Source organism: Homo sapiens, chromosome 1 (genome assembly GCF_000001405.40).
Source record: "Homo sapiens chromosome 1, GRCh38.p14 Primary Assembly".
NCBI classification, from domain to species: domain Eukaryota; kingdom Metazoa; phylum Chordata; class Mammalia; order Primates; family Hominidae; genus Homo; species Homo sapiens.
In genome coordinates, this window is record NC_000001.11 from 162,313,631 (window position 1) to 162,341,608 (window position 27,978).

Below are 27,978 nucleotides of genomic sequence, written 5' to 3' on the forward strand. Positions count from 1 at the left end.
GAGATTGCTTGGGGATCTGAGTGTAATGGGGAGAGTATCTGGGTCTGGCCAAACTGGGTGACAGCAGTAGAAATGCATAGAAAGCAGTCAGCCTGTGGGCTGTTTTAAGCATGGACCATTCAGACTAGTGGTGTCTGAATATAGAGTAAATGAGGGAGGGAAAGGAGGCCCCAGTGATCTCAGGTTGAAGCTTCAGTGCTTTTACCTTTGTCCTTTCTGAGGGCTTTCTGCCTCTGCTGGCCTCCCGCTTGATTTTAAATTCAGTCATCCTGAAACATGGAAATTTGTGTCATGGTAACTCTTAGCATGAACTCCATGAGGGTGGGGACCATGCATGTTTTACTGTTGCATCCCAAGTGCCTAGAAGGATTCTTAGTGTATAGTAGGTGCTCAATAAATACATACTTCACGACAAAGCTGGGGCAGCCTTGATTTGCTTGTTTGCTGCACTAAAATATTCATCTCAAAAAGGCTACTAAGCTGATTTATCCTTTTGGTGGCCTTGTCTTCTACCCTTGCATAACCCTTTTGTATCTAAAACTGGGAAGGGTTATCACAGCCCCCAGGGCAGGGAGCTCATGAGAGAGCCCATAGACCTGCACAGCAGGAAACTGAAAATAGCTACCAAAGCAATCAAAATTAAACCTCTGGATCCGCCTCTCTGGGCCTGGCCCTAGAGGGCATCTTTTACACTAATGATGGAAAATTAAATTAGGCCACCTTTAGAAAACTTCACAAAATTAAATACTGTTTGCCAGGGAGGGAATTACCCTATGGAGAAAGTAACAGGGGAGCAGGGAAACAGGCTGGTCACAGTTCTACAACAAAATGATTGGCTGGTGTCAAATTTCCTTACTCTGTGCTTCATTTTATTCTTCTTAAATGTGTAAAGGGAATCAATTTAGAATTTGTGCAAAACATTGAAGAATCTCAGAAGGGAAAGTGTGTGCAAAATAAAACAAACACTTCTTTCCTTGTCTTCTCTCCTTGTTACCAAATTGGCACTGGCCTGGGAGTCCATCAGATGGTCTTGACCTTTTCTGGGATACAAATACCTTTGAGAATCTGCTGAAAACTGTATTTTCTCCATAGGAAAAAAATCATTCTTGCAAAGTTTTGAATTTTAGGAGAATTCATGTACCCCAGAGTCCTGCATGTTTATGAATTCCAAGGTAAGACTCCTATTTTGCCAGTAAGTGTTGAACATCATCTTTGAATATTTGCATCTAAAGCTGGGAAGGTTTAGCATTGGCTCTTCTACTGCTCAAGTAAGAGTAGGAGGAGAAAAAAACAAACCAATCTAACTTTATTAATGATTTAATGTTTGAATGCTTAATAAATTTTATTTACCTTCCCAAGAGATATTTGCATTTTGTTAGAGGAGTCATTCAAAACAAACCAATCTCATGTTGGTGAGTTTCAGATTATTAAAGGGAAGAGGATTCGCTTAGGAGGGACCTTTATGTTACCCTCAGTGTCCTTGGAATCACATGGATGATGGGAATGTTGGCCTAGGGCCTGGGTTTTACACTGACATGTAAGGACCATGTGAAGGCCTAGAGTAAAGGGCCAGAGTAAAGGGCCAACCCTAACCCCAAAGGTAAATAAAGATTGGTCTTGATTTGGAGCTGTAGCCCCTGCCTGACAAACCTTTAATATTAATAGATAACCTCTGGGCTTGTAGTAGGACCGTGTTGTAGCTTACTCCGCAGCATGAGCATTTTGCACTAAACACCTGTCTAGATACTGCCACAGTGCCCTGTCCTCTGGCCTGACTGGGTAAGCTTTCCGTGGCTTCCATCTTGTGTCCTGGCACAATTGGGAGGAAGGATGGTGGCGTCACACCTCTGAGACCACAATCAGACTGTGAGCCTTGGCTTCCTCTCTGGTGGCAGACCTCAAACTGGAGAGGTGAGGATGACTGCGAGGTCCAGAGGGTTAAGCACAGAATTTGGGAAAGATGGAGTGGAAAAAGCTGGGTTATCTGCAAGTCTCCACATCCTTTATCAGGAGACCCTGAGAACTGGCTTTTGAGGAGTTACAGCCTTTCCCAGTTGCTGGCAGTCACCATGATCAAACCATGATTAACTGAGGAGTCCTCTGTATTTGGCTTAACATTTCTGCCTGTCAAATTCTTATTAATCTTTCAACGTTTATTGTAAATAACACATCCACCAGGAATGCTTTCCTGATTTCATCCCTACCCCCACAGTGGGGATCTAATTAAGGTTTGTCCTTTGGACCCTAAGGTGCTATACAGCCCTTAAGTTTATCCTTTTATTGTAGTTTATCTATCATAGTTTTTAGTAGGAACTGTATCTTATCTATCTTTGGGGCTCCTTAACCACTTGTCTCACACACAATAGGGCTCAATACGTATTTATTCCATGTAATTGACTTATTAAACTTTTGCACAATTCCCAGAAATTAATTACACTCATTCTGTAGACTTTTATTCGGGACTGAGTGGATGAATGAATGAACGAACGAATGAATGAACCAACCCACCTATATAAAAAAAGTGTGTTGAGCACTGAACACAGCCCATATGTGAAGGTATTTGAGAACAGTGGCAAAAAATGTTAACATTAGAACATCAGAACATATATTCTAATAGAAGATAACAAGCAGCACACAAATAATACTAAAAAGACAGCATCGCAGTTGAGAACACTGAGAAACAAGAAGTCGAATGACTTTGTTCAGCTTTGCTCAGGAAGAGAGCCCAGCACCTCTTGATGTTGTGGGTTTAACCACTAAGCAAAGCTGCCTTTGAAAATGCACACCCTCCTTCCTCTGGTTGGCCGAGGATGCCAGTCCTGTCCAGCTACTGCTGTGCAGTTAGCTCTTTGCTTTAGGGCCTGATTATCTTTTCTCGTGGATTATCTTGGCCTTTGACTGTCTTACATGTCCATGTGAAGAGACCCCCAAACAGGCTTTGTGTGAGCAACATGGCTGTTTATTTCACCTGGGTGCAGGCAGACTGAGTCCCAAAAGAGAGTCAGCAAAGGGTGGTGGGATTATCATTAGTTCTTAGAGGTTTTGGGATAGGCAGTGGAGTTAAGAGCAATGTTTTAGGGGCAGGGGGTGGATCTCACAAAGTACATTCTCAAGGGTGGGGAGAATTACAAAGAACCTTCTTAAAGGTGGGGGAGATTACAAAGTACATTGATCAGTTAGGGTGGGCAGAAGCAAATCACAATGGTGGAATGTCATCAGTTAAGGTTATTTTCACTTCTTTTGTGGATCTTCAGTTGCTTCAGGCCATCTGGATGTATATGTGCAGGTCACTGGGGATATGATGGCTTAGCTTGGGCTCAGAGGCCTGACATTGACCTCATCTCTTGTCTCATTTGTTGCAGTTTTTACTGATAATTCATAATGATAAGGGGGTGGGTGGGAGAAATGAAGCCATCATAAAGGGTAAATGTGTTCATCTTGTTTGTATTAATTGCTCCAATAAAAGGTTTTTTGGAGGAGGTGAGCAAGAAGAACCTCAGAATGGCAGCCCCTGACAGATGAGATCTACACATGAGCTCATCGTTGCTCAGTGTCTCCCATCAGCACATAATTAATTGTTGGAGATGGACCTGATTGCTGGGGGAGATGAGGTAGTGCAGGTGCATTTCCTTCCAGAGTCGGAGCAGCCGTCCAGGGTCTGGGCCAGTGGTGTGTCCTCAGACTCAAACACTGTTAAAAATATATAGAGAGATATATGTATATACACATGCGTACACACACGTGCACATACACACACCAAAGTTTTTTGTATGTGTATATGTATGTAAGAAGAATTTTCTTAGTAAAAGAGTTAAACCTAAATTTCTCTTGATTACCTTTGTTCACTCATGAGAAGGACAAAACCCCAAGGAAACAATTTAGCCTGTCAAACACCTCAGCTGATGAAGGGGAATTTGAAAAGCTAAATGTAAAAGAGAGACTGCAAGACTCATAAACAGATCCCAAGAGAGCATGTAGTATTGGCTAGGCCTCCCCACCCTTCCAGCCCTCGTATATCTACATGAGCCCCATCCCTCAGGTCCTGAGAGCCAGGAGGAATTCATATGAATCTCCTCTCTAAGAAAATAACAGCAAAATGATTTTGATTTCACGTACTGTCCTTTTGATCCATGTCACGTTTCTGGTTCCTTCCTATGAGAAAGGGAAGTCAGTAACAGATGGGTGAAATGCAGGTCTGGGGCAGTTACAACAGCCCTTGCTTTTTATCAGGACACTTTACTAAACATTAAACTGACCTCTTGCCTTAACCAGCCCCACTCCTACTTCCACATCAAAACGGCATTAGCTCTCTCGCAGGGAAAGGCTTAGCTACTTCATAAGGGCCACCAAAATACTGCCCAAGAAAGGGAGAGGGATACAAGCCAGGGGTAGGACTGGCCCCCACCTTAGTGGCAGGTTCATAGTTGGTGCTGTCTCGGACCCCAGGCGAGCTCCTCTTCTTGCACTCTGCCTTCTGCTGTCTCTGTCTTGAGCCATCATTTTCCCTACATTCCCCTAGATCTTGAGGCTATTTCTGTTTTGTCCCTTATTTTCTAGCCTATAAATAGGCTTAGGTTTTGCCATCCTAAAAAGAAAAGATGACCCTCAAACCCACCATCCTGTCTTGCCGTTTCACTGCCAGACTCTTTGGAGAAACTGCATTTGCTATCTATATTTCCAAAACTCCCATTCACTTTTCAGCTCATTTTAATTGGGCTTCCTGAGCTACTCTACTGAGACTGCTCTTGCTAAGGCCACCAGGGATGTCTTAGTTGCAGAATCCCTGGCTCGCTTTCTGTCTGCATCTTATTCAGTCTCTGTGAAGCACTTAATGCTGTGGGTCTTTCCACCCTTCTGGAGACTCTCTGCTCCCTCAGCTTCCACGATTGTTTTCTCTTGTTCCTCCTCAGATCTCTTGGTCTTTTTCTGCTCAGTATTTTTTTTTCTGACTCCTCCTATTACGCCCTCCATTTAAATGGGTACTGTTAGTGGGATTCTCTCAATGAGCCCCCTTTCTTCTTCTTCTTCTTGATCCTCAGGGGATGTCGTATTTCCTATGGCTTCAACCACCCTCTAAATCCCAGTCTATGCTCCTCTGCCCCCACACTCTATCCCCTCCATCCCTTATTTCCAATTGCCTCTTAGACAATTCCATCTGGCTTTTGCCTTCTCAAATCTGACCTGTCCAGAGCCACACCACTCCTCCTCCTTCCATGTTCCTTAGTTCTTTTTTCCTTCTGTGGCCCTTGACCCCATTAATGTTTAGTCCATCTGCCAAGTTACACAGCTCAGAATCATATCCTTCCCTCTCATTATCACACCCAGAGAAATGATTCTTGTGTCCACCTGCTCTCCCCATGGTGGCTGCCCCTGCCTTTGTTAGGCCTCCAGTGTTTCTTGCCTGGACTCAGGGTTGGTTTGTCTGGCTGCATAGACTGTGCTGTGCATCGCTCCAGGTGTGTCATTCAGGGCCCTGAGCCCAGGTGCCCTGCACTTATTTCCCAAACTGTAATTCTCACAACAGCTCCCCTGTTTGTAGATGAGAAAACTAAAACTTGAGCATTGAAAGACTCACCCAGTAGCTCACAAATGTAAGCAGCAGAATGGGGATTTGAGTCCGGTTCTTCTGACAGCAAGCCCCAGGTCCAGATTCTGTTGATTCCCCTAAGCATTCTGTATTGCAGTAGGCTCTTGGTGGCCTTCCTTCTGCTCCTGCCCTCCTCCAATCCATCCTCCACACCACCATGACTACCAGCCATGTGATCCCCCTGCTTAGACTCCCATCCTTGCCCTGAGCCCACAAGGTGAAGTCTGAGCTCTGTAGCTGGGCTCTCCACAATTGGCCCTGACCTCCTTCTGTCCCCATCTCCCACCAGTCCTTCTGTATGCCCTGCAATCCCTGTACCCAGGCAAACTGTGCTACCTCATGACCTCATGCCTTTCCACATGCAGTTTCCATTGCAAGGGCTCTCCCTGCTCTTCTGTCTCGGTGATGGATAGATTTCCATTGTCCCAGATCTGCTCAGCAGCCCTCCCCACTGTCCTCAGTGCCCAGGGAGGCTGGCCTGTGTAGACCTGTCCTGAGAGCTCCTGCCAGATGGCACACAGCTCTTCCTCTCTTGGCTCTGGAAACTGCTCCCTGCCCTGCCTCTCTGGACTTGGGGTGCTGAGGGCTCCCAGGGACACTGCACTGCCCTCACCTTTGTGAACAGTCCTGTATTAAACTCTCTTCAGCCTACTCACATACTCTGTTTCCTGCCAGGACCCTGACTGACACATTCCCCACCCCACAATCCTGCCACCTCCCACGTTGTCTTCGAGTCACAGCTCAGGCAGCAGCTCCCTGTGTGCCTTCCCAGTTCCCACAGGCAGCTGGCTGCATCCTCCTCCGCGTTTCACTGGCTCCATTCCTCTGTCCGCACTTGCCACACCCTGTCTGTACCCCCTGAGCTCCTCAGGGCAGTCTCTGAAGCAGACTCAGCTCTGTATCTTGGAGAAGCCAATATGGGGCCAAGGGGGGCGGGGTACGGAGTAAGATGTGCGTATCTTAGAAGAGAGGTCATGCTGGACCACCCCGACACCTGCTTTTCGGTGGTGGGGAGACAATGAGAAAAGAGCTTCTGGCATACAGCAGATGAAAATAACAGGAATTCTCAGGCAAGGACTTGCCTCCTTCACAGCCTTCTGCTCACATTTCTCCACCCTTTGTGGACAAGGAGTGGACAAGCAAGTGTACAAACCTTTGTTGATGATTATTTTGCACTGGGAAGATTTTGCCTAATGCCTCTCTGCATATAACACTTGAAGGAAAGTATTCGTTTGCTTGAAAGCAAAAGGATAAACTTGAGAAAAGAGAAGAGGAAGGGTCCTTACATGCTGCCTTCCAACCACCCCCTCCCCACATTGCCAAAAGAAAGATACAAGACTTTTAAAAAGTAATTGGAGCCGGGAGCGGTGGCTCACGCCTGTAATCCCAGCACTTTGGGAGGCCGAGGCGGGAGGATCACAAGGTCAAGAGATCGAGACCATCCTGGCCAACATGGTGAAACCCCGTCTCTACTAAAAATAGAAAAATTAGCTGAGCGTGGTGGCGCGCGCCTGTAGTCCCAGCTACTCGGGAGGCTGAGGCAGGAGAATCGCTTGAACCAGGGAGGTGGAGGTTGTAGTGAGCCGAGATTGCACCACTGCATTCCAGCCTGGTGACAGAGTGAGACACCATCTCAAAAAAATAAATAAATAAAAATAAAAAATAAAAAAGTAATTGGAAATCAAAACGAGGTCAAATAGGAATGGGTTCATTTTTCTCCCCCACTTTTTTTTAAGGTTTGCCAATGGCCTGGAAGTAAAGGTACACAGTCCTTTAAAAAGCAGCAACATGCCTGTGTCCTGAATGGTATTGCCTAGGTTTTCTCCTAGGGTGTTTATGGTTTTGGGTCTAACATTTAAGTCTTTAATCCATCTTGAATTAATTTTTGTATAAGGTGTAAGGAAGGGATCCAGTTTCAGCTTTCTACATATGGCTAGCCAATTTTCCCAGCACCATTTGTTGAGTAGGGAATCCTTTCCCCATTTCTTGTTTTTGTCAGGTTTGTCAAAGATCAGATAGTTGTAGATGTGTGGTATTATTTCTGAGGGCTCTGTTCTGTTCCATTGGCGCTATTCACAATAGCAAAGACTTGGAACCAACCCAAATGTCCAACAATGATAGACTGGATTAAGAAAATGTGGCACATATACACCATGGAATACTATGCAGCCATAAAAAATGATGAGTTCATGTCCATTGTAGGGACATGGATGGAGCTGGAAACCATCATTCTGAGCAAACTATCGCAAGGACAGAAAACCAAACACCACATGTTCTCACTCATAGGTGGGAATTGAACAATGAGAACACTTGGACACAGGGTGGGGGACATCACACACCAGGGCCTGTTGTGGGGTAGGGGTAGGGGAGAGGGATAGCATTAGGAGATATACCTAATGTAAATGACGAGTTCATGGGTGCAGCACACCAACATGGCACATGTATACATATGTAACAAACCTGCACGTTGTGCACATGTACCCTAGAACTTAAAGTATAATTAAAAAAAAAAAAATATATATATATATATATATAAAAGCAACATGGATGCAGCTGCAGGCCATTATCCTGAGTGAATTAAAACAGAAACAGAAAACCAAAGACTGCATGTTCCTACTTACGAATGGGAGCTAAACAATGGATACACATGGCCATAAAGATGGAAACAACAGACACTGGGGACTCCAAAAGGGAAGAGGGAGAAGGGGGGACAAGGACTGAAAAAGTTCCCGTTGGTGCTGCGTGCACTGTTTGGGTGACGGGTTCAAAAGAAGCCCAAACTCCAGCCTTGCGCAATATATCCGTGTAACAAACCTACAAATGTAACCCCCTGCATCTAAAATAATAAAATAATTTCTAAAAAACACACAAAAAAGAAAAAGACACTAGATTGTGATTGAGAGTGAGTTGTCCCAGGCCAAATCAGAATGGCCTGGACATTGACCTGAGGGTGGGGCAGGTGAGAATTAGAAATGCTGATGCCTGGAGTACACACAAGCCACCAGCAGTGGCTTGTCATCTTATCTTCAAGTCCTGGGAGGAAGTGCCTTCAGGTGAGTTCTGATTCTGACTTCCTCTTCCTCAGATACAGCATGAGGTAGGCAGGTCAGAGCAACTGGAAAAATAAAAATATTAGAAAAGAAAAGTATCTGGACCTGCCAGCCAGGCATGCTCCCACCCCTGGGAAGCTTGGGGAAGGAGGTGGATACTCTTTCTTCATTTCCCGTCATGGCACATGGGACTCCTCACATGCTGAGCAGGTGGCATGAGAGGTATGGAGTTAGAGTCAGGTACAGAGGGAGTTATGGTGGGAATCCTCAGACGCTCAAGTGGGAACTCAACTGCCTTGGAAAAACAAGATGTGCTTATGATGTGTATCATATCCCTGGATTGGTTTATTTGAAGAAACATGGATGGAAAGTGGACAATCAGTCAGGGATGATAAAGAAATCCAGCACCTCTTACCCACGTGTCCCCTGAAAATCTTACCAACATGAGAATGAATTTGTTGGTGACCATAGAGACATCTATGAAGACATCCAGGACTTGGAAACATAAGAGGAATAAAAAAATCCAGGCTTTCCAGGTGGCATAAATGTAACATGGGACTAATTTCTAGCCCAGGTATAGAGAAAACAATAGTAATACGGGTAATGAATGACATTCAATATTCAAATGATATCTGATGATTAATCAGGCAGATGGTGCAGCAGTTTTCAGAACTTGGTGAAGATTGCTAGGGTTCCAATTCTAATGCAGATACTATAGTGAGTTGAAATATGTCCCTTAGAAAGCTATGTTAGGATATGTTCCTCACCCCGGTACCTGTGAATGTGGATGTTATTTGAATATAGGGAGTTTGCAGATGTAATTAAGGTGAGGTCATATTAGATTAGGGTGGACCCTAAATCCAATGACCAGGGTCCTTACAAGAAGAGGGAAATTTGGACACAGAGACAGAGGAGACACAGGGCAGAATGCCGTGGGAAGGCAGCGGGAGCAGACTAGAGTGACGCTGCTGCAAACCCAAGAATGCCAAGGATTGTTGGCAGCAGCCAGAAGCTAGGAGAGATGTGGAATAGATTCTCCCTGAGAGCCTCTAGAAGGAATCAGCCTTGATTTTTGACTTCTGGCCTCCTGAACTGTGAGAAATGAAATTTCTGTTGTTTTAAGCTATCCGACTTGTAATAATTGTTACAGCAGCCCTAAGAAATTAATACAGATACTACTGGCTGTGTGACCTTAAGAAAATGCACAGGGGTTACCTCTCTGTTTCTTCATCTGTAAAATGGAGATAATAACTGTATCCACTTCATACAGTTGTTGTGAGGATTAGATGAGTTTTTGCCTGTAAAGTGCTTAAGCAGTACCTGACAGATGGTAAACACACAATAGATTAGCAAATATTCTTCTTTGATCACTTCAATTTAGTAAAGATTTTTTTGAGCAACTACTATGCGGCAGACCCTATATGTAAGTTATTTCATTTGATTCTTGTAACAGTCCTGTGAACCTCTTCTTATCCCATTTTGCAGTTAAGAAAACTAAGGCTCAGAGTATTAACTTGTTTTGAGAAAGCAGACGAGCTGCAACCTCGACTGAGCCTTTGGCTCTGTTCTGTCAGGTCTTCTATTCCACAAAATTACAGGCATCTCAGTGTATACTGGGGAGTGGACAAGGAAGGGTGCGAACCTTTGTTGATGATTATTTTGCACTGGGAAGATTTTGCCTAATGCCTCTCTGCATATAACACTTGAAGGAAGGTATTTGCTGGCTTGAAAGCAAGAGGATAAACGAAAAAAGAGAAGAGGAAGAGGTAATTTTCTAGATGATGCTCCTCCAGCATACACCAGTCAAACTAGTGCCCCTAATATTTGTGGTGTGTTCATTTTCTCTCTTTTTTCTGGCTCTGGGAGGGAAGTTGTGTCTCTGAGCACAACCCTCAGGAAGTCCGAGGGTCCTGAAAAGTGTGGGATGGATGGTTTAAGCCCCCCAAATGTGAACAAGCTACATGTATGAACTCAGATAACACAGACACACAGAAGAAATAAATTGGCAGCCTGTGTAAATAGATTTGGTTTTTGACAGCCAATAGCAGGTGATGGTTATTTTGGAGAAATTATGAGTGTTGGAGAGAAATTAAAGTCTTGAAATATATGAAAGGATTTTTGTGTAGTGGTTTTGTGAGGGACACTAGCCTTTTTTTTTTTTTTTTTTTTTTTTTTTTGCCTCCCTGTCAAGTACTGAACAAGAAGAAATTAATTTATCCCAGTACTTGGCATTTAGAAAGTGCTGTGTGGTGGTTTGTGGTTGATTCAAGTAAAGCAGGGGAGGTTTTAGTGGGACATAAGAAAAAACTTAACAGCTGTGAAATTAAAACATAAATTAACTGCTGATGTAGGCCATGAGGGTGCCTTAGCTAGACTTTCAGAAGATAAAGATGCATTTGTCTGGCTCTCGCTAGGTCTTAAAACCTCAATTGGTTGCTTATTCGTTACTCTAGGCACACAGTAGATCTTTGTAACAATAAGTTAGACATTTGTATAATTTTATTCATTGAAGAAACCTTAGGAATCAGCTCTTATATTTGCATTTCTCTGCCTGCAGTTGAAGTGATGAGCTTGACTGTCTCTCGAGGTCTCTCCCAGCCCTGGAATCCCAGGCTTCCTTCCAGACTGTGCTGCGATGAAGCAGATCTGTGATATACATCCCAGTCATGGTGACAAGGGGCGACTTGACAGTGTGGCCCCACACTTCAGGTGTCTGTGGAAGTCAGGCTGTGAAGTAAGGAGACCAGTTCCATGAGGGATTTCAGGCACCATTTCATGAGTTTATTACCCTTCTTTTTTGCCAAATAGCCCTGAGGAAGGTAGTCATCAAATCGAGAATGGCTAAAATGAGGAATGAAGAAGATGGAAATTACAATAACTTCAAATAAAAGCAAGCCAGCTGATGTGATTAAAAAGCCCTGTATATACAGTGGGGGGAAAATGATAATCAGACCAAAGCAGTCATAAGAGAGAACAGTGATCAAGATGGGAGACAATGTTATATAAAGATTAAATTAAAAATAAATAAGATAGATGAGGAAAAGAATGAGTAACAGCTGCGACAGGAGTGTGAAACTGTGTTCATGCTGCAGGGCTGGTTGAGAAGAGAAAAAGACACACCAGTAGGCAGGCAGCATGCTGGGGATAGGAGTAAGGGGTGCATTCTTCCTATAGTGTCTGGTGGTGTTCTATCAGTGAAGCATTTGGAGACTCTCGTCAACCCACCACCCCTTCTGATATTTTCCCCAGTCCCTCTAAGGATAACACATTGGGCCCCCCAGAATCACATGGGCTGGGACGCTTAGGGAACCCTTCTTCCCGAGACCAGGAGTCATGCTGGATTTCCCAGGACCATGCCTTCACAGTTAGGCCTCATTTATCTGGTCTTGAGCAGCAGGTTGATTCTGTTTTCCGACTTCTGCATGTGTCACATTGTGCTTCTTACTTTCCCAGAGGTTTTCCTTAAGAATACCACTTGATTTTGTCTCCACCATCTTCAGGTGACTTGGTACCTTATCTTTATCAGCTGGTTTCATTTCGCTCTGTGCTGCAGCATGTCTTTTGGGGTTAGGAATGCCCATGCGTTCCAGGACCTCAAGAGAAAAATCTCTATACCACACACTGGAGACTCCCCTAGCCCCACCGAGAGATACTGATGTTGGGAGAACAAGAAATATTTCTCTTTGTTTTTCCACTTGACATTTCTAAGTTTGTTTCCACAGTTTTCAAGTATTTGTACAACATTTCATGGGTTAGAGAATATTTGTGCATCTGTTGTCGCATCTGAACCTTATAATCACCCTGAAAGATGTTTTTATTATTCTCACTTCAACGATTAAAAAAGAAGAAGGTTGAGAGAAGGAAAATAATTTGCTCAAGGCCCCTTGGTAGTCTACATCCTCTACCCTAAAGTTCTGTTTTGGGCTATGGCAGGAGAGAATTGCGTGGCAGGTCCTGGGCTTGCTGGGAGAGACCCAGTGGATCTTGAGCAGGAGGCGAGGAACATGGATGTAGACTCAGGAAACCTTGCAGGTGACTGGAGACCTTTCACAGCCTCTGCAGTCCTAAAGTCAGCAGGCAGTCCCCATGGAGATGAGGGGCATTAGAGGTAGAATGCTAATACCTGGGGGAATATGGCTGTGTTAGGATTCTCCAGTGAAACAGAACCAATAGGATATATGTGTGGGTGTGCATGCTTACACATATTACATGTGTTTATGTATAGGTACACATACTTAATATATACAGGCACATATAAGAAATAGTTAAGGAATTGGCTCACATGATTATGGAGGCTGAGAAGTTCCAAGATCTGCAATTGGGAAGGTGGAGACCCAGGAATGCTAATATATGGTTCCAGTCTGAGTCTGAAGACCTGAGAACCAGGAAAGCTGATGGTGTGAGTTTCAGTCTGCACATTGGCAGGCTTGAGACCCAAGAAGAGTCTGACCTGGCTGGAAAAGACCAATGTCCCAGCTCAAAGCAATCAGGCAGGAGGCATTCCCTCTTACTCAACCTGTTTGTTCTATTCAGGTGTTCAGTTGGATTATTGGATGAGGCCAGGGATGATGACAGAGTAAGATGAGGTCTCATGGCCAGAGACTGAAAGAGGGAATAAAGGATGAGAACTTGAAGACAACATAATTGATTCTAGTCAGGCCCCAAAAATGTGAGATCATGAAGAAAAATCATGTGACTGCCCAGATTTTCATAAAATGCTTCTTGAAAAGTATACAATATGGAAAGCAGAGCTTAAAAACAAGTATGAGTGCAAAGGAACAACAATTACTGAGAGAACTGAAACCCTGAATGCATTAGGCTTATGGAAAAGGCTGAAGATGAGAGAAAAAGGGGTGTGAAGGAAGAGAGAGTTGGCACATGGCAAGGGGAAAATCTCAATCCCATTTTTCTAACTGTCTTGGTTTTTTTCTTCTCAAGTAGAGAACTGATCTTCAAATTAGAAACACTAGAACATATGTAATTTTAAAAAACCGAAGTTCAAAACCAAGAGGAAAAAGGAAGGTATTCCTCACTACCATGTGTCCAGGCCTGAATCACTGGCTTCTGGGTTCCTGAAAAATATGATTGCAAAATAGTGATTGGTCATCTTTTGCAAAATCATGAGGGATGGAGAAGAAACAAAAAGATTGCAAAAATAAAATATTGCAGTTTTTAGAAAGGGGGCAAACCTGCATCAGGAATTACCAACTAGTGAATTTGTCATTGCTCCTGGGCAGAATTCTAGAAGAGATCATTAAGCAGATGGTCTGTGAGAACTTGGAAAAGGAAATCATGAACACTGAGAGCTAGTCCTAAAAAACCAGTTACCCAAGTATGTTCAGGAAATCTGCCTTACAGCTGTTGCGCAAATTAGCTTTGAGCATTTGAGTAGACTACAGTGTGAACCAGCAATGAGATGTTATAACAGAAGAAAAAAAACATGATCAGAGATGCTTTGCTAAAAATTCAGTTCTAGGGCATAGAAAATATTTATCCAAATATACTCTGTGCTGTTCAGATCCCTCACAAATGAGTTCAGTTCTGTGAGCTGCATTTTAAGATAGTCACTGGCAAGTTGGAATATGTACGGAAAAAGTTAAGAGAAGATGGAACTCATATTTATTGAGCAAGCAACTTAACATGTGTTGGGCATTGTGTAAAATGTGGTATGTGTGTTTTAATGCTTAAAACAATACCATGAAGAAGTCATTAATATGCCTATTTTAGATGAGGAAATGAAGGATTATGTAACTGAGTTTTTTGCCTCAGGCCAGCAGCTAGAAGATGGCAAAGCTAAGACTTGAACCTGGATCTTTCTCATCCCCAAGCCCATGCTCTTTCCACAGTGCAAACCTGCCAGAGAAATAAGGGACTTGGAAAATGAGCCAACTGAGAAACTGTTGAAGGAAGAAGTAATTCACTTTAAAAATGAAAGGAGTGCAGAGGAGTCGGAGAGTGGGGAGGGCATCAGGAAGAATAGCTAATGCATGCTGGGATTAATACCTAGGTGATGGGTTGATAGGTTCAGCAAATCACCATGGCACACATTTACCTATGTAACAAACCCGTCCATCCTGCACATGTACCCCGGAACTTAAAATAAACTTAAGAAAGGAGTAAATATAAACATGATATTGTTTCCATATATTAAAATGTTGGCCATTTGGAAGAGGAGTAGCCTTGTTCTCTGAGATCCCTAAGGATGGAACTAGAGCAGTAGTGTGGCAGTAATTAGAGCAGTTCACATTTATTAACCATTTGCTGTAAGCTGACCCCTCTGCACATACTCATTCTTTAAACCTTACTAGCATGAGTGAGGTACAGCACAATGATCATACCTGTTTCACAGGTGAAGAACAAGAAGGGGGTTGAGATAATGACCAGGGTGTCCCAGCTAGTAAGTGGCAAAGCTTGGGCTGAAATCCAGGTCTGTCCCCCTCAGGGCCAGTGTTCTCAGCCATTTTCCTCCACTGCATTCCTGTTGGCAGAATTCCAGTCAACATGAGGGAAAATTTCCTGGTAACTAGAACCTCTTAAAAAGGGATCAGATACTTTGTTAGAGAGTGAATTGCCTATCAGTGATGAATCCTGACAGACAGAGATGCTGGCTTGTATCCAGGCCTTATGACCCCATAGGTTTCTTTCTACTCTAAATTGTTGTTGCTGCTGTTGTTGTTGTTTTTCTATGATCTTAAGAGAAGCGAGTTTACCTATAGATGAATAGTTTGAGAAGGGGGGTATTGGTGGTGAATCTAGTTGTTTTTAAAATCACGTTGTCAACCTAAATTCCAGCATGATGATAAACCCAAAATCCAGTTTCTTCCAGATAATGTTTTTCTTTCAGTCATTTATGGTAAGTCTGTGGACATATGATGAATCTGCAGAAAGGTTTATTACTGTGTAAAAGCATAACAGTTCTGTTAGTAAGTAAAAATTATAATGCTATACATATTTTGAAATAAAAGTAAGAAATTTTAGGGCCAGCTGTGGTGGCTTACACCTATAATCCCAGCTACTCAGGAGGCTGAAGCACAAGTATCACTTGAACCTGGGAGGCAGAGGTTGCAGTGAGCCAAGATTTCACCAAGAAAAAAAGAGAGAGAGAGAGAGAGAGAGAAAAGAAATTTAAAGGAGAAGAAATTTTAGGAAAGTTGAAGGGGGAATAAAACCTTATTAACATTATATGAACTACTTTGGTATCCTACTCTTTATAATTATAGTGAAAGTTGGGAAAATTGACTAAGGTACTTTTTGGAAGCAGGATTATCAGAACTAGGCTAGACTGACTTAAGGGTAAAGATGAAGAAGGAAAGAAAAAGGGAAATCTTTCCTATTCTCTTGAGCACTCACCTTCCTCTACTCTCCCCCAATTTCTACCACCCCCACAATCACAGTGCTTAAGAAAACCAAGTAATGGAGAAATAAGGGTTCTTGGAATGTATTTCTTGATCTGGAAATTTGGACCCAAGAGACATTAATTTGCGGATTTATTAGTTTGTTGATGAATGAGGTCGCATGGAAAAACTTTCTGCCTCTTGGTTATGTTGGTGGAAACTTTTCTAAGCTTTAACTAGCTGACTTTTTGGTTAGCTAGAGATTATTTACTTTTAATAACAACACGCTAAGTTTCTGAAATCAGATATAGCAGAGCAGTCTCCAGAGAGCTGTGGTCCAAAGGCAGTGGCTGCATCCATGTACAGTTCTCATCAGATTTTCTGAAAAGATGCTTTATCTGTTAAGGTTAAGTTAACCTTGGCTTACTGCCGTTCCTCTGTTCCTTCCACATCTCTGTGTCTTGTGGGCATGCCAGTTTGCATTCAAATCTGCTGTATCAGTTTTAAATCCAGTTCTCAGTCCTTAGGGTATTACATAAGAATAAGTTAACTAAAGAATCCAAGAAGTTTTACGTATGATGCTGAACTAACTGGATCTGACTTCCTTGGGGAAAATGAATAGCCAGGCAGATCACATTATAGATGAGCATTAATGACAGCTGGAACACCTCCCTCCCTTCTAAGCAGGCAAGGAACCTCCCATGTGCCAATCACTGTGCTGGCACTGGGGATACCAAGATGTGTTCCTTGTTCCTTCAAGGAGCACATGTAAAAACATCATAGTGTGAGATATGTGCTGTGGCAACGTTGAGCCCCAGGGTATTCAGCAACTCAGACTGCTGAAGAAAAGGGAGGGGAAGGCTGCTCTGAACCAAGTCTTGGCGGCCATCAAAGGTGTTCACAGCAGTTGCAGAATTGGGAAGATGCACACACCTAGTTCTGCAGGCCTGTGTAGGTCAGGACTCTGGAGAGAGATGACTGCAGAAAGGTAGGTACACCATGCTAAGGAGTTTGGACTTTATCCTAAAAGCAGTAGGAAGCCTTTGGATGGCTTTAAGAGGAAAATGATGGGATGTAATTTGTCTTTTTTAAAAATAACACTTTGCTGGCAATGTAGAGAATGGGTTGACAATAGGTGAGTTAGGAAGCAGAGCAGCACACTGTTTACAGGATGTTGTAAAAATCCAGGTGAAAAATGAGAACTCTAGATGATCAATAGCTTGGAGTTGAAGAGAAAAACATAAATCAGAGACATATTAGGGAGCGAGTCTGCAAGGAACTTGCTCCTGAGTGATGGCTATTGGGGAACAATGGAGGAAGCTGTTGAGAATGACACCTGGGTTTCTGGCTTGAGTAGGTATGGTGTCCCCTTATCAAGATAGGACATGGAGAATTATGGGGAATATGATGAATTCACTCGGGGGTATGAGGAATTTGAGAAGCTTGAGAACCATTCAGGAGGAGATGTCCAGGAAGGTTGGCTGAATGGGCCTGGAACTCAGGCAGGAGATGCTGAGATACAATTGTAGATTTGTCCCTTTGATGTTAGGAAGACAGTTTGACATCATTAGAAGGATAGGGGACTGGAAACCACACTAAACAGCCTCTATTTCAGAACCATTTAGAGATGATAGACATGTGAGATGTACTGAAATGCCTGCTAGCTGAGTGTAGCAGAGAAACTACAGTCCCCAAGGTGAACTTGGGTTTTTTCACAGTGTTGTTTTCCTCTCTGTGCCCACCTTTCTTTTGGACTTTCCTCCCAGGCTTCTTGGGGTCCTGTGGCAAGAATCTCAGTTACTAGGCTGTTTAGAGGCTATATCAGTAAGGGGATGTAAGATGGCATTTTACTAACTATTCTACCTCCTCAATAACTCTTGGAAGGGTTACTATTAGTAGTCCCATTGTACAGATAACAAAACTGAGCCTCTGAGGGGTGACATAACTTATTTTTTAGTAAGTGGCAAAGTCGTAGATGAAGTTGTAGACTCTCAATCCCATTCTCTTTCTTCTATACAGCACAGACCTACACTAAAACAAATCAGACCTGTTAACTCCTTGAATGAAAGCCATCAGTGTTGTTAGTGGTGAAAAATGTTTTGCAGAAATGATGTGGCCTCTTAGGTGCTACCAAGAGCAATACACTCCTTGGACTGCCCAAAACTAATTCCACTGATGCACCCGCTCCAACTCCCTGCACCGACCCCACAGCAGTCAGACCTGGAGGCCCTGGGGGGGCCCTGTCCTAAGCCATCTTAAGATGCAGCCTCTAGGGCCTTGCTTATAATTTTCCCCCTTTCTCCAGCCTCCCCTTGTTCCTACCTCTGCCCACCCCAAGCAGCCAGAATGATCCTTTAGTTTAAAGCATAAGCAAGTCAGTCCTCTGCTTAAAAGCCGATGGCTTCTCATCTCACGTAGAATATAAGCCACGACCTTCAAAGCCTTCTACATTTTGGCCTCTGGCTGCATCTATTACCTTGTTGCTGACCATACTCCACTTGAACCACACTCCGTTGAGCCTCCCTGGGTGTTCCTTGAATGCTTTTAATACCTTCTGAACACTGCAGGGCTTGTAAACTTGCTATTCCCACTTCCTGCCATGGTTTGGCCCAGGTGTCTCAGTGACTGTCTCCCTTACCCCATTCAGATCTCAGCCTCTCAGTGTGACCTCCCTGGCTACCCTGTCTAAAATAGCCCCCATCATGCTCCATCCCTTAGTCTGCCTTATTTTTCTTCATAGCACTTATTTTATATTTGCTTATTTGCATTGTCTACGTGTAAGCTCCATGAGTTCAGGGGCTTTTTCTGTCCTGTTCCTGTTGTGACCCTGGCTGCTGGGATAGTGCCTGGCCCACAGTGTGCACTCAGTGGCATTGGTTGAATCATGGAATGAACACATGGATGCTGTGGTCCAGGCAGAGAGGGGACAGAGAGTGGGATCACTATCACCAAAGGAACTAAGAGTATCTTAGTCCCTCCCAATGTGGTAAACATTGCTGGTTCCCTAAGTTTCTGCATTTGGGGATAATTGTAAACAGGCATCAGAAAACGTGTATGCATCTCTCTGGGTAAGAAGCAGGTTTGTTGCTCTGATAAGGATGGGAATGATTTTTCCTTCTAACATACAAGTTACAGGGACAGATTTGCCACCTCAGGAGATGGTTAACAATAGTGTCGGTTCCATGTCCTACCCCTGCCCCCTCTACCAAATCTGAAAGTCACAGTGTTAGTGTTTGTGGAATCTGTTGAAAGTGCCTCCTGCATTGTGACTTTTTGATCCTGAAGGAAGAAGACTTTCTGTAATAACTTGGCTCTCATGAGCTGTGCTTCAGAGTGTCCTTAAACAGAGCTTTCCTGGTTGGAGATTTGAACCTAAGGCCATTTTCAGTGCATTTTTCTGTTGTTCTTCCTTTAGGATCTTCTATGTCTCTCATGATTCCCAAGACTTGAAGATCTTCAGCTATATCGCTCGAGATGGTGCCAGCAATATCTTCAGGTGTAACGTCTTTAAATCCAAGAAGAAGGTAAAGAGGCGGTTGCCGTCCATCTGCTATTTTCCTCTAATGGTTCCAAAGCACCCCCAACATTGGCCCGTCTCCCTGTTGAAGACAGCTGTGGTAATGCCGACATGGGGCAACTATCTCAGTCGTCTGTCATTGCTCCTATATAATGGAATTCTCTTTTAGCATCATCTGAACTTTGTACTTAGTTACATACAGATAAATGCAAAGGGATTGACCGTTGACTACGTGCTCTGGGATGAGAGCAGTTAAACAGCACCGGGAGTGATGCTAACCTTAGCCTTGGGGTAGGAAAAAAGCATTGTCATTTACTAAGGAGACCCTTCATCACAATTCTGTATATTGATTAGGGGGCTACAAAATATGAATACACATGGAGTCTGGTTTAGACTCAGTGTGTGATATTGGTTATCCTGGGTGATTATTTGTTATGGCAACCTTGATACTCAAGTAAATGCAACTTTGAGGATTCTGAAGAGGCATTCTTTATGTTAATGTCATTCCCCCAGGAGTCTAACACACACAACTGGGGTTTTAGAAGCCTAGGATCTAGCCCTGCCTCTCACTGGAACCCTGAGTGACGTTATGTAGGTCCCAGCGTTCTCATCTATAAAATGAAAAGAATCGTCAAAATCAGCATTTCCTAAATGTGTTCTGTAAAACATTTATCAGCCAAAATGTTTCATGTTAAAACTACCTGATTTAAGTTGCTGAGAAGGTCTGATGATAAAAAACATGTTGTTTAACCCAGAATTTCCCAAACTAATTTCACAATGGAATCATATTTTTTCCATGTAATATGTGTTAATATCCTGGGAACTGTTTTTCTGCAGAAGAGATTTTGGAAAACACTATTTGTGCCCCTAAGGACCCTAGTAAGTCCATCATTCTAGAAACAAACTACTAAGCCTGGCTTTCTACAAGAACTTCATTTTATGCATCTTTTGTCTTCAGGCCTCTTTAGCAGATGTTTAGGTACCTTGTCAAGTACCTTGTCAATAACACATGCCAGGGTCCAGATTTACTGATGGGTGTCCTATTCCCTACCCTAGCTCCACAAAGAGAATTATGCTTTGTTAACTTAGCCTCTTCCTCTATGGAGATTTGTGCCCTTAACCACCCTGTTCCAGGCTTTTTAAATGCAAATCATGGAGTTGGATGAAAAGTGCTACAACTGGAAAGATGGCAGGAATAAAAGAGTAACTTGCCAGACTTCACATCTAGATAATAGTATAGCTGAGAGGGAAAAAACATAAATGAGGCTAAGTCAAGCTGCATTAAAGAACTGATAGAAAGGGGAATAGGAAGAGGGAGAAAAAGAAAAGCCATAGGCGCTGGAGATGAGAAAGTTTAGAGTTTGGGAAAGTGAAAGGCTCGTATGTGGCCTTGTGTAGGGGACCTGGGGAGGAGAGAAAAGGAAATACAAAGTCTCCCTGATGGTCATGAATTGGCTCGTCTGTAAGGTTCTGACAGATGCAACAAAAGACTGGAATTCCCTTTTAATTCATTTTGAGTATTTGACTGTGCTTCTGACTTTAGTTTCGTACAAAGACTGGACCATGTGGACCTTGGAATTTATTAGAGTTACAAATAACGCATTATCATTTGCCAGGTTCTTTAATAGTTAATCTTATTTTATCCTTATAACACGTCTGTAAAGAAGGTAAGACATGTAACTTTCACTTCCCAATTTTACCGATGAATAAACTGAGGCTCAGAGAGGTTAAATGACTTGCCTGAGTTCTCATGAATAGGCACTGGCTAGAATAGAACCAGGGAGACATGCAGGACAAAAGAATTTTGAGCAGGAAACCTAGGTAAGAGGACCATTATGTTATATTTGCCTTGCTATCAGATCTAACATAGCAATACGGACGCAGTGGGGGCATCCACTTCTGACAAAACCTGAGTTTAAGACCAGTGCTCACTTGGAACTTTGATCTTGAAGTGAAGCACAGAATGGAGTTCCCATTATCCGTGAAAAGGAGTAGTCATCTGGTTCCCTATCATGTCAATTTTTTTTCCATGTCTCGTAGCTCTTACAGCGAATTCTGATCTCTGGCTTTCCTGTTTCCTATACCGCTTTCATCCTCACCTACTGAGACCCTAGCTCTTCATAGAGTTGGTTCTCAGGCCCTTTCCTGGCCTGGAGCCATGCAGCTGAGGGGATTGTTTCCAGTCAGCCTGGGCGTTGAGCCCTGTTGCTGCTGAGCTGTAGGTGGGAAGGCTGGTTTCCAAGCTAAGAAAGGGAAGTGAATTGTTCGGCAAAGGATGCAGAACTGGGGAGGGCTGGGGAACACATCTGCAAGGTTTTGCTTGCCCTTCTGCTTAGCCTCCAAACATGGTGATTTACCTTTTTTATAAAGCACTTCTAATGTCAAGAGGTAATAGTTAACTTGGGAAGGAGTTTTAACTGGCAAATCATAGGAATGCTTCAGAAGTGGTGGGCGGGGGGAAAGGACTATAGAGGACATGTGTGTTGCAGAGATGTTGCTGGGTTGTTGGAAGTCAATAGGGAGTCCTCTTGACTGGAAGCCCGCAGATGTGGGTGTTCTCCGGAGCCCTCGTGTTGGTCATAGTGTAGAAAAACCTTGTCTGAGATCCTTTTTGTGTTGGGACTTTGGTTATTGCTGTTTCATATCACATCATGTCCCCTGCGTATATGCTCATGACCTCTAATGGGGTGTCATCATCACCCTAGAGTTCACATGGGGAAAGGGTTACCTCCTCTCTTGGTTGAGAATATGGGTCAGATGTCTTAGCTTTCCTGGTTGAGGGCCTCCCTCGACCTTGTTCCCTGCACAGCTATTACTCTGTACCTATGGATCTTCCTTGGGCCACTCACACAGATAGCCAGTGTGGCTCCCACCTTGGGAGTTGTATCCTTGAGCTAAGTTTTTTTTCAAGTGGGCTTTCACCAGAAGCTAGAAAGCAAAAATATTGCAGGAATATAACATGGTACCTGCTATTCTTCTATACTCTAGATTATCTAAGTTCCAGCCTCATATTACATCAGATAATAATATCTAACCTGTTTTGATTAGTTGCTATATGCCTGAGACTGTTCAAAGCTCTTTACATGAATGATCTAACTTTATTCCCACAGCAGCCCTGTGAGGTAGGTGCTGTTATGCTCTTCATTTTATAGGTGGGAAAATGGGGCCTAAAGGTACATAATGTGTGTAAAGACTCAACAAGTAATGGAGTCAGAACTGAACCCAGAGGGTCTGACTGTGGAGCTCACACTCTTACCCACTCCATTATACTATTGTTGTTGGCTCATGAGGAAGTTATATAACTCAGAAGTTGCTTTGTTTTCCAAGACCCATTTGTAACTGGGTTCTGCTGTAATTATTACATGGGTATGAAGAGCTCCTTAACTCCGAATGGCCCAAATCACTTTAACATAGATTTTCCTTTTTTCCTCATAGTATCTTTTTGTAGTTAATATTGACTCAATTTTGTAGTTGAAGAAGAAAAGGCCCAAGGAAGTAAATCACCCTTGGTCACACAGTGAATCAATGATGCCACTGAAATTAGAAACAGGCTTCCTCCTTCTCAGGCCAGGACTTTGAACGCTAAACCCTATTACACAAAACTCATAAGAAAGATACGTGAGCCTTTCTGGACTTGAGTTTTCTCTAGCCATCAAATAAGATGAAAGGCATCTCAGGAGTGCTGATTGTTGTGTGTGAAGTGACGTCATCTTTAAGGAACAAATTCTCTGTGACTGGGAAGGATTGTCAGGATTGTGGTGGAGGGACCCTAGCACTCTTCAGACCCATGCTAGAAAGGAGGGATGGGAGTGGGTCTTTTCCTCACTGTGAGCATCCAGTGGAGATGCTTGCTAATAACATGGGCATTCCTTGTTTCCCCTCCTTGGGGGATATAATGATAGTATTCATTTGCAGGGCCTTTTGCCTCTCGAGAAGACTCTTGCATGGTCTCTTGACCTCTCCCGTGGAGTGGATGTCATCCTCCTGTCATTTTCTTCTAGCTCTAGGAGTATATGGCTGTCTGCCCTGATTACCAGTGACTGCACTTATTAATGCATCAGTGCGTGAAGTGCTGGTGATTAACAGGAGCTGCAGGCATCTCCCCATTATCTTCATGGGCAGCTCCTTGAAATAATTTTGCCTGCAATCACAGCTCGATTGGTTTGGGTTAGGAGAAATAATTTCCTCCTATAATGCTGTCACTATCAAATTGGGGGCCACAGCTGTGAAGTTGAACTGTCCTTTAGAGGTTGCAATGGATTTTGAATGATGATGACAGCCATGTGCTAAAGAATAAGTCACTTGCCTGGTCAAACTTACGAGATGAAAGATAGGAAAGTTCTAAAGTTAGGGAAAGAGTCTGTTTTTTATACTTTAGGTTGAGTTGGGAAGTCAAAATGCAGGAATCATGGGTCTCAGAACTCATCTAGTCTGAATCACTCTCTTTGTGGATGAGAAAATCAATACTGAGAAAGGAGAATTAACTGTCCACAGTCACCCAGTTGGTTCTGACAGCACTGGGATTGTAACTCAGACTTCTTTTCTCTGGGGTACTAAGTTTCATGGACTAGCAGAGTAGAAGGAAAAACACAGCTATCTGTTGGAAACTTTAAGATGCAGTATGTCCTGTCAATGTAGAAAATCACACCTGCTTTGAAACTAAACTTTCCTTATACTGAGCAATATTCTGATGTCCAAGGCATCACCTCAACCAAATTATATAATCAAAGCCACAAAATAATGTGTTGGACAAAAACCTAACCCATCTACCATTTCAGAGCCTTAGTACTGTAGATCCTACTGTATGTAGAAGTCCAAATATAAATGTATTTTCATGCTTTGGCATTGTAAATTCCATAGATTAAGATCATTTGATAGATATAAGCTGAATCTTTTACTAAGATTCCCCCCAACCCAAAAAAATACATTAAAGAAACATGACATTCAGTTCTGTTTTTGTTGAGATTCTGTGGCAGTTAAGGTCAAGACAAGGACATTATCTTGTATTGCTGTGATAGATAAGAATTATAAATCTGTGAGCTGTCCCACAGCTGACCTCATGGACTTCAGTTCTCTAAAATTCAGAACCACTTGTCAGTCAAATTTGAGTACCCAAAAGAGATGGGGGAGAGGGGGAGTGGAGGAGGGGACAGGGGAATAGTAAACTAGAGAGCTGGTAGACCATTAAAGAACCTTACTTGAAAGATGTGTGCCCCCATTATTCTCTTTTCTCCTCTTATTATTGTCATTGTCATCATCATCTTCATCTGGTATTTTGTACTTATACTCTCTACTTGCTTATCTGGTGACTCTTAATCCTCTTTGTAAGTTGTAAAGTAAAGAGAGAGCTTCTTCCAGGACAGTGAAATTCAGAACAGTGCCCAAAATTATTTATCAAATCAGCTATAGAATATGACTAATAAGAACCATTCTTTACATGCATATGGCACTTAAAGATTCCCAAATTTTATAGGACCAACCAACTACAAAGTCGTTAAGAAAGAGAATAGAAAATAAAATCATGGTCTATGGCCATACCACCTTGAATGTGTCTGATCTCATTAGCTAAGCAGGGTGGGGTCTGGTGTGTACTTTGATGGGAGAAAATAAAATCATGATTGACTATAATTTTTCTATGGGCCAGTGAGGTACAGGAATCAACCTTTTGATTTATGTCTTCCTAAAGCTACCACTGTCGGCTTTTGTTTGCTTTCGGGTGTACAACCCACAGTGATTGTGAATATAGTGTTATTTTCATGACCATTGCCGCAGTTCATCAAATGTTGACTCCTGCTAGGTATGAAGTTGATACCCACATTAGGTGTGCTGAGGAGAACAGCTGTTCATTGCATTTGGACTTAACTTTGGTTCTGGCTTGAGGGATGTCCTAGGGTTGTGGGAGAAGGAGCTGTGTCAGCGTGAAAAGATGGGTGGTTTGAAGAAACATTGCTGTGTGTATAAGGTAAGTGTATACAGTTTTAAGCTCCCTTTCCAGCTGTATTTTCACAAAATTGCCTGTAGTTGACACTCCCATGAGCAGGCTCTCCATCTGGAGCTAAGAGCCACTCTGAGGTTAGAGATCCCTTTCCAGCTTTGAAAATATCAAAGCAACCATATCCAGCCTAATCTTGACAATGAAGAGCCCACAAATGCTTTTGGGCTGCTAATAGAAAATGGCTTTTGGACGAGAAGATTTGATCCGTGTGGCAAAGCACTTTTATGGGCTTATGTAAAACTAAACTGGATTTGTACAGAAATAATGCAGTATAATGATGCTTTTTTTAAAAAAAAAAAAAATCTAGTAAATTCCAGAGAATGGCCAGATTTTGGAACTCAAAAAGGCTGCTTTCTCAAGGTTCCACTTGTTTACCCTTTGTACCTCACTGCCTTCAATCTTTAAACCTCTGCTTTAGTCTCCAAAGGCCTGTATGTCGTCATGAGGTGGGAGCAACTGCTTCACTGTGATCTAGAAGACCCACAGACAAGCATTCATAAAAACTTCTGGAAGGGACTTTTTAAAGCTGCTATTTACCAGAGTTCTCCCTCTTGGGTGCAGACATGGCTAATTAATGATAAAATCCCAGCGTGTGTGATTCTTGCATTTTGGGGTTGAAGGCAGAACCAGTTTTCTTGCCCTGCAGGCCAGAAGGTGGGGTAACTAAGTGGGGTAGGCCTAGCAGGCAGGAGCCAGCATGGCTGTGCAGAAAGCAGATGGTGAAGACACAGCCCCTCCCAGGCACAGGCTGCCTCTACTGACCACCTTTAAGTAATCACCTCCCTAACGAGGTCCCCATATAGAATCCTCTAAAAGTAGACTTTTTAATGGTGAAGCAAGGAGAGCCTAAAAGGTCAAGGGACATCAGAACTCACATAGCCATTTATGAGTACAGTGAGGAGCTGTTTAGCCCCTTCTGACTCCCTGAGTGGTAGATAGGAAGGGCAATTCTTTTATGTGTATGTATGTAGTCATTCTGTGAAACAGTTAGAGTAGCTTGATTATGTGTTCCAGTGCAGAGGGCTCTTTATGAAACATGCTACAGTGTCCTTTTACTGTGAATAGAAATATAACCTTCACATTAAAGGAGTAAAATAAAGGATAAATTAAACCATTTAATTTATTAATTTAATTATTAAACTGTTTACCACTCAGTATGCAGATCTAGAACTCTTAATGCAACAATTTCCTCACATGTAGAAACTATCATACTAGCTCAGACCAAAGATCCATTTGGCTCAGGAATTTTCCTGTGCTGCTATGGTGGAGGCTATGCTATCTGATGCACAGCCTTTTGGATGTTAGCATACATAAGTAAGAGGTGATTCCCTTAGTCGCTTTATGTTTCTACTATGATAAAAATTGTTCCACCTTTCCTGCACTGCTTTTTCTTTTCTGTCTTAATTGCCTCTTGGTGCAGTGAATTCCATAGTCAGGATAAAACATTTCTTGAGCATTTACTATATGCCAGGCACTGTGGTAGGTGCTATCATATATTCAGTTTTTCAGTGCAGTTACAGAAATACCGTAGAGAACAACGGGTGGAGGGAGGATAGGAAGGAAATGGGAGGCTGAAGGATGGGATGCCCTTTCCAGCATGGGGAAGGCAGAACCAGTAAACCTAAAGTCTGCATTTCCTACTTTTTCAGGGGAATCAGGTAGAGGTTAGGGTCAGCTGCTGATCCTAGTAAAAAATACTAGTAAAATGTGAAAATGAAGTGTTATCAATATTAACCATTAAAACCAGCCTACTTCCTTACAGCCACTTTGGGCTTATAGATGGTTGAATATGTGAGTATGTTGCACATGTTTGTCCTTGATAAAGGTGGCAGAATAGAGATTTGAGCTGGAGTCTATATTCTTAAGATGCTCAGTTCTGAGCATAGCCCATCATCCATTGTCATCTTGTGATGCCTGAGAAATACAGGTCCTCTGTGAAGTCATTCTCCCACCACCTTTATCCTCTTATTTAAATCTGAGGGATTCCTTCCAAAGATAAATTTAGAAATTCGATTCCTACCCCTGTCTAATCCCATAGATCAGGGACATTTGTTTGAGGATCTTTAAATTTTTAATATCATCTTAAAAGCTGGTTAAAGGAAGTATCTGTGATTTACAGAGATGATGGAATTTGTAACACGTCCTCCTTAGGAAAACCTGAGATGTTATAGGAACAAACTCAGTAGTGAATTTAGAATTTTCTATATAACTGTATTTTAAAGGGGGAACTGTATTTTAATCTGTACCCTGGGAATGAAACCGACGGGAAAAGACTAACTCAGTCTTTGCAGATATTTATTCAGTATGAGATATCTGGGTTAATTCATGTAAGAGAAGAAAGTAATGGAATTAAACACTTAATCTCTACATATCATTTGGACTTACCATATTTTATTGTTACAACCTAAAACATTTACCTTTTTTACCTTTTGTAAAGATACCTGGGGGAGCAAAATTCCCAAGAGTCAGAGAAGAAAGTAGAGGAAGGTTTCTGT

General features: G+C 42.7%; 1 protein-coding gene, 1 long non-coding RNA gene and 1 pseudogene across 3 annotated transcripts in view, besides 1 other annotated feature; 2 read left to right on the plus strand and 1 right to left on the minus strand.

Annotated features, from left to right (window-relative positions):
- The window catches only part of NOS1AP (nitric oxide synthase 1 adaptor protein), a 300,785-nt gene that overhangs the window by 243,940 nt on the left and 28,867 nt on the right, over nt 1-27,978 (plus strand). For both annotated transcript variants that reach the window (NM_014697.3, NM_001164757.2), the window contains exon 5: nt 19,387-19,495. In NM_014697.3, the coding sequence (NP_055512.1) occupies nt 19,387-19,495 (109 nt within the window). The remainder of the gene's footprint in view (nt 1-19,386; nt 19,496-27,978) is intronic.
- Nucleotides 2,938-5,858, minus strand: LOC124904445 (uncharacterized). The gene is made up of 2 exons (XR_007066701.1): nt 5,576-5,858; nt 2,938-3,690 (listed from the first exon to the last, which is right to left on the minus strand). It is a non-coding gene; the product is annotated as an uncharacterized LOC124904445 (long non-coding RNA).
- Nucleotides 6,180-6,749: an enhancer, noted in NCBI's record as "H3K27ac-H3K4me1 hESC enhancer chr1:162289600-162290169 (GRCh37/hg19 assembly coordinates)". NCBI's record gives its function as "activates a minimal SCP1, AML or CMV promoter by ChIP-STARR-seq in naive H9 embryonic stem cells {active_cell/tissue: H9 hESC(naive)}" and the evidence as "EXISTENCE:reporter gene assay evidence [ECO:0000049][PMID:30033119]".
- Nucleotides 25,013-25,112, plus strand: RNA5SP61 (RNA, 5S ribosomal pseudogene 61; annotated as a pseudogene).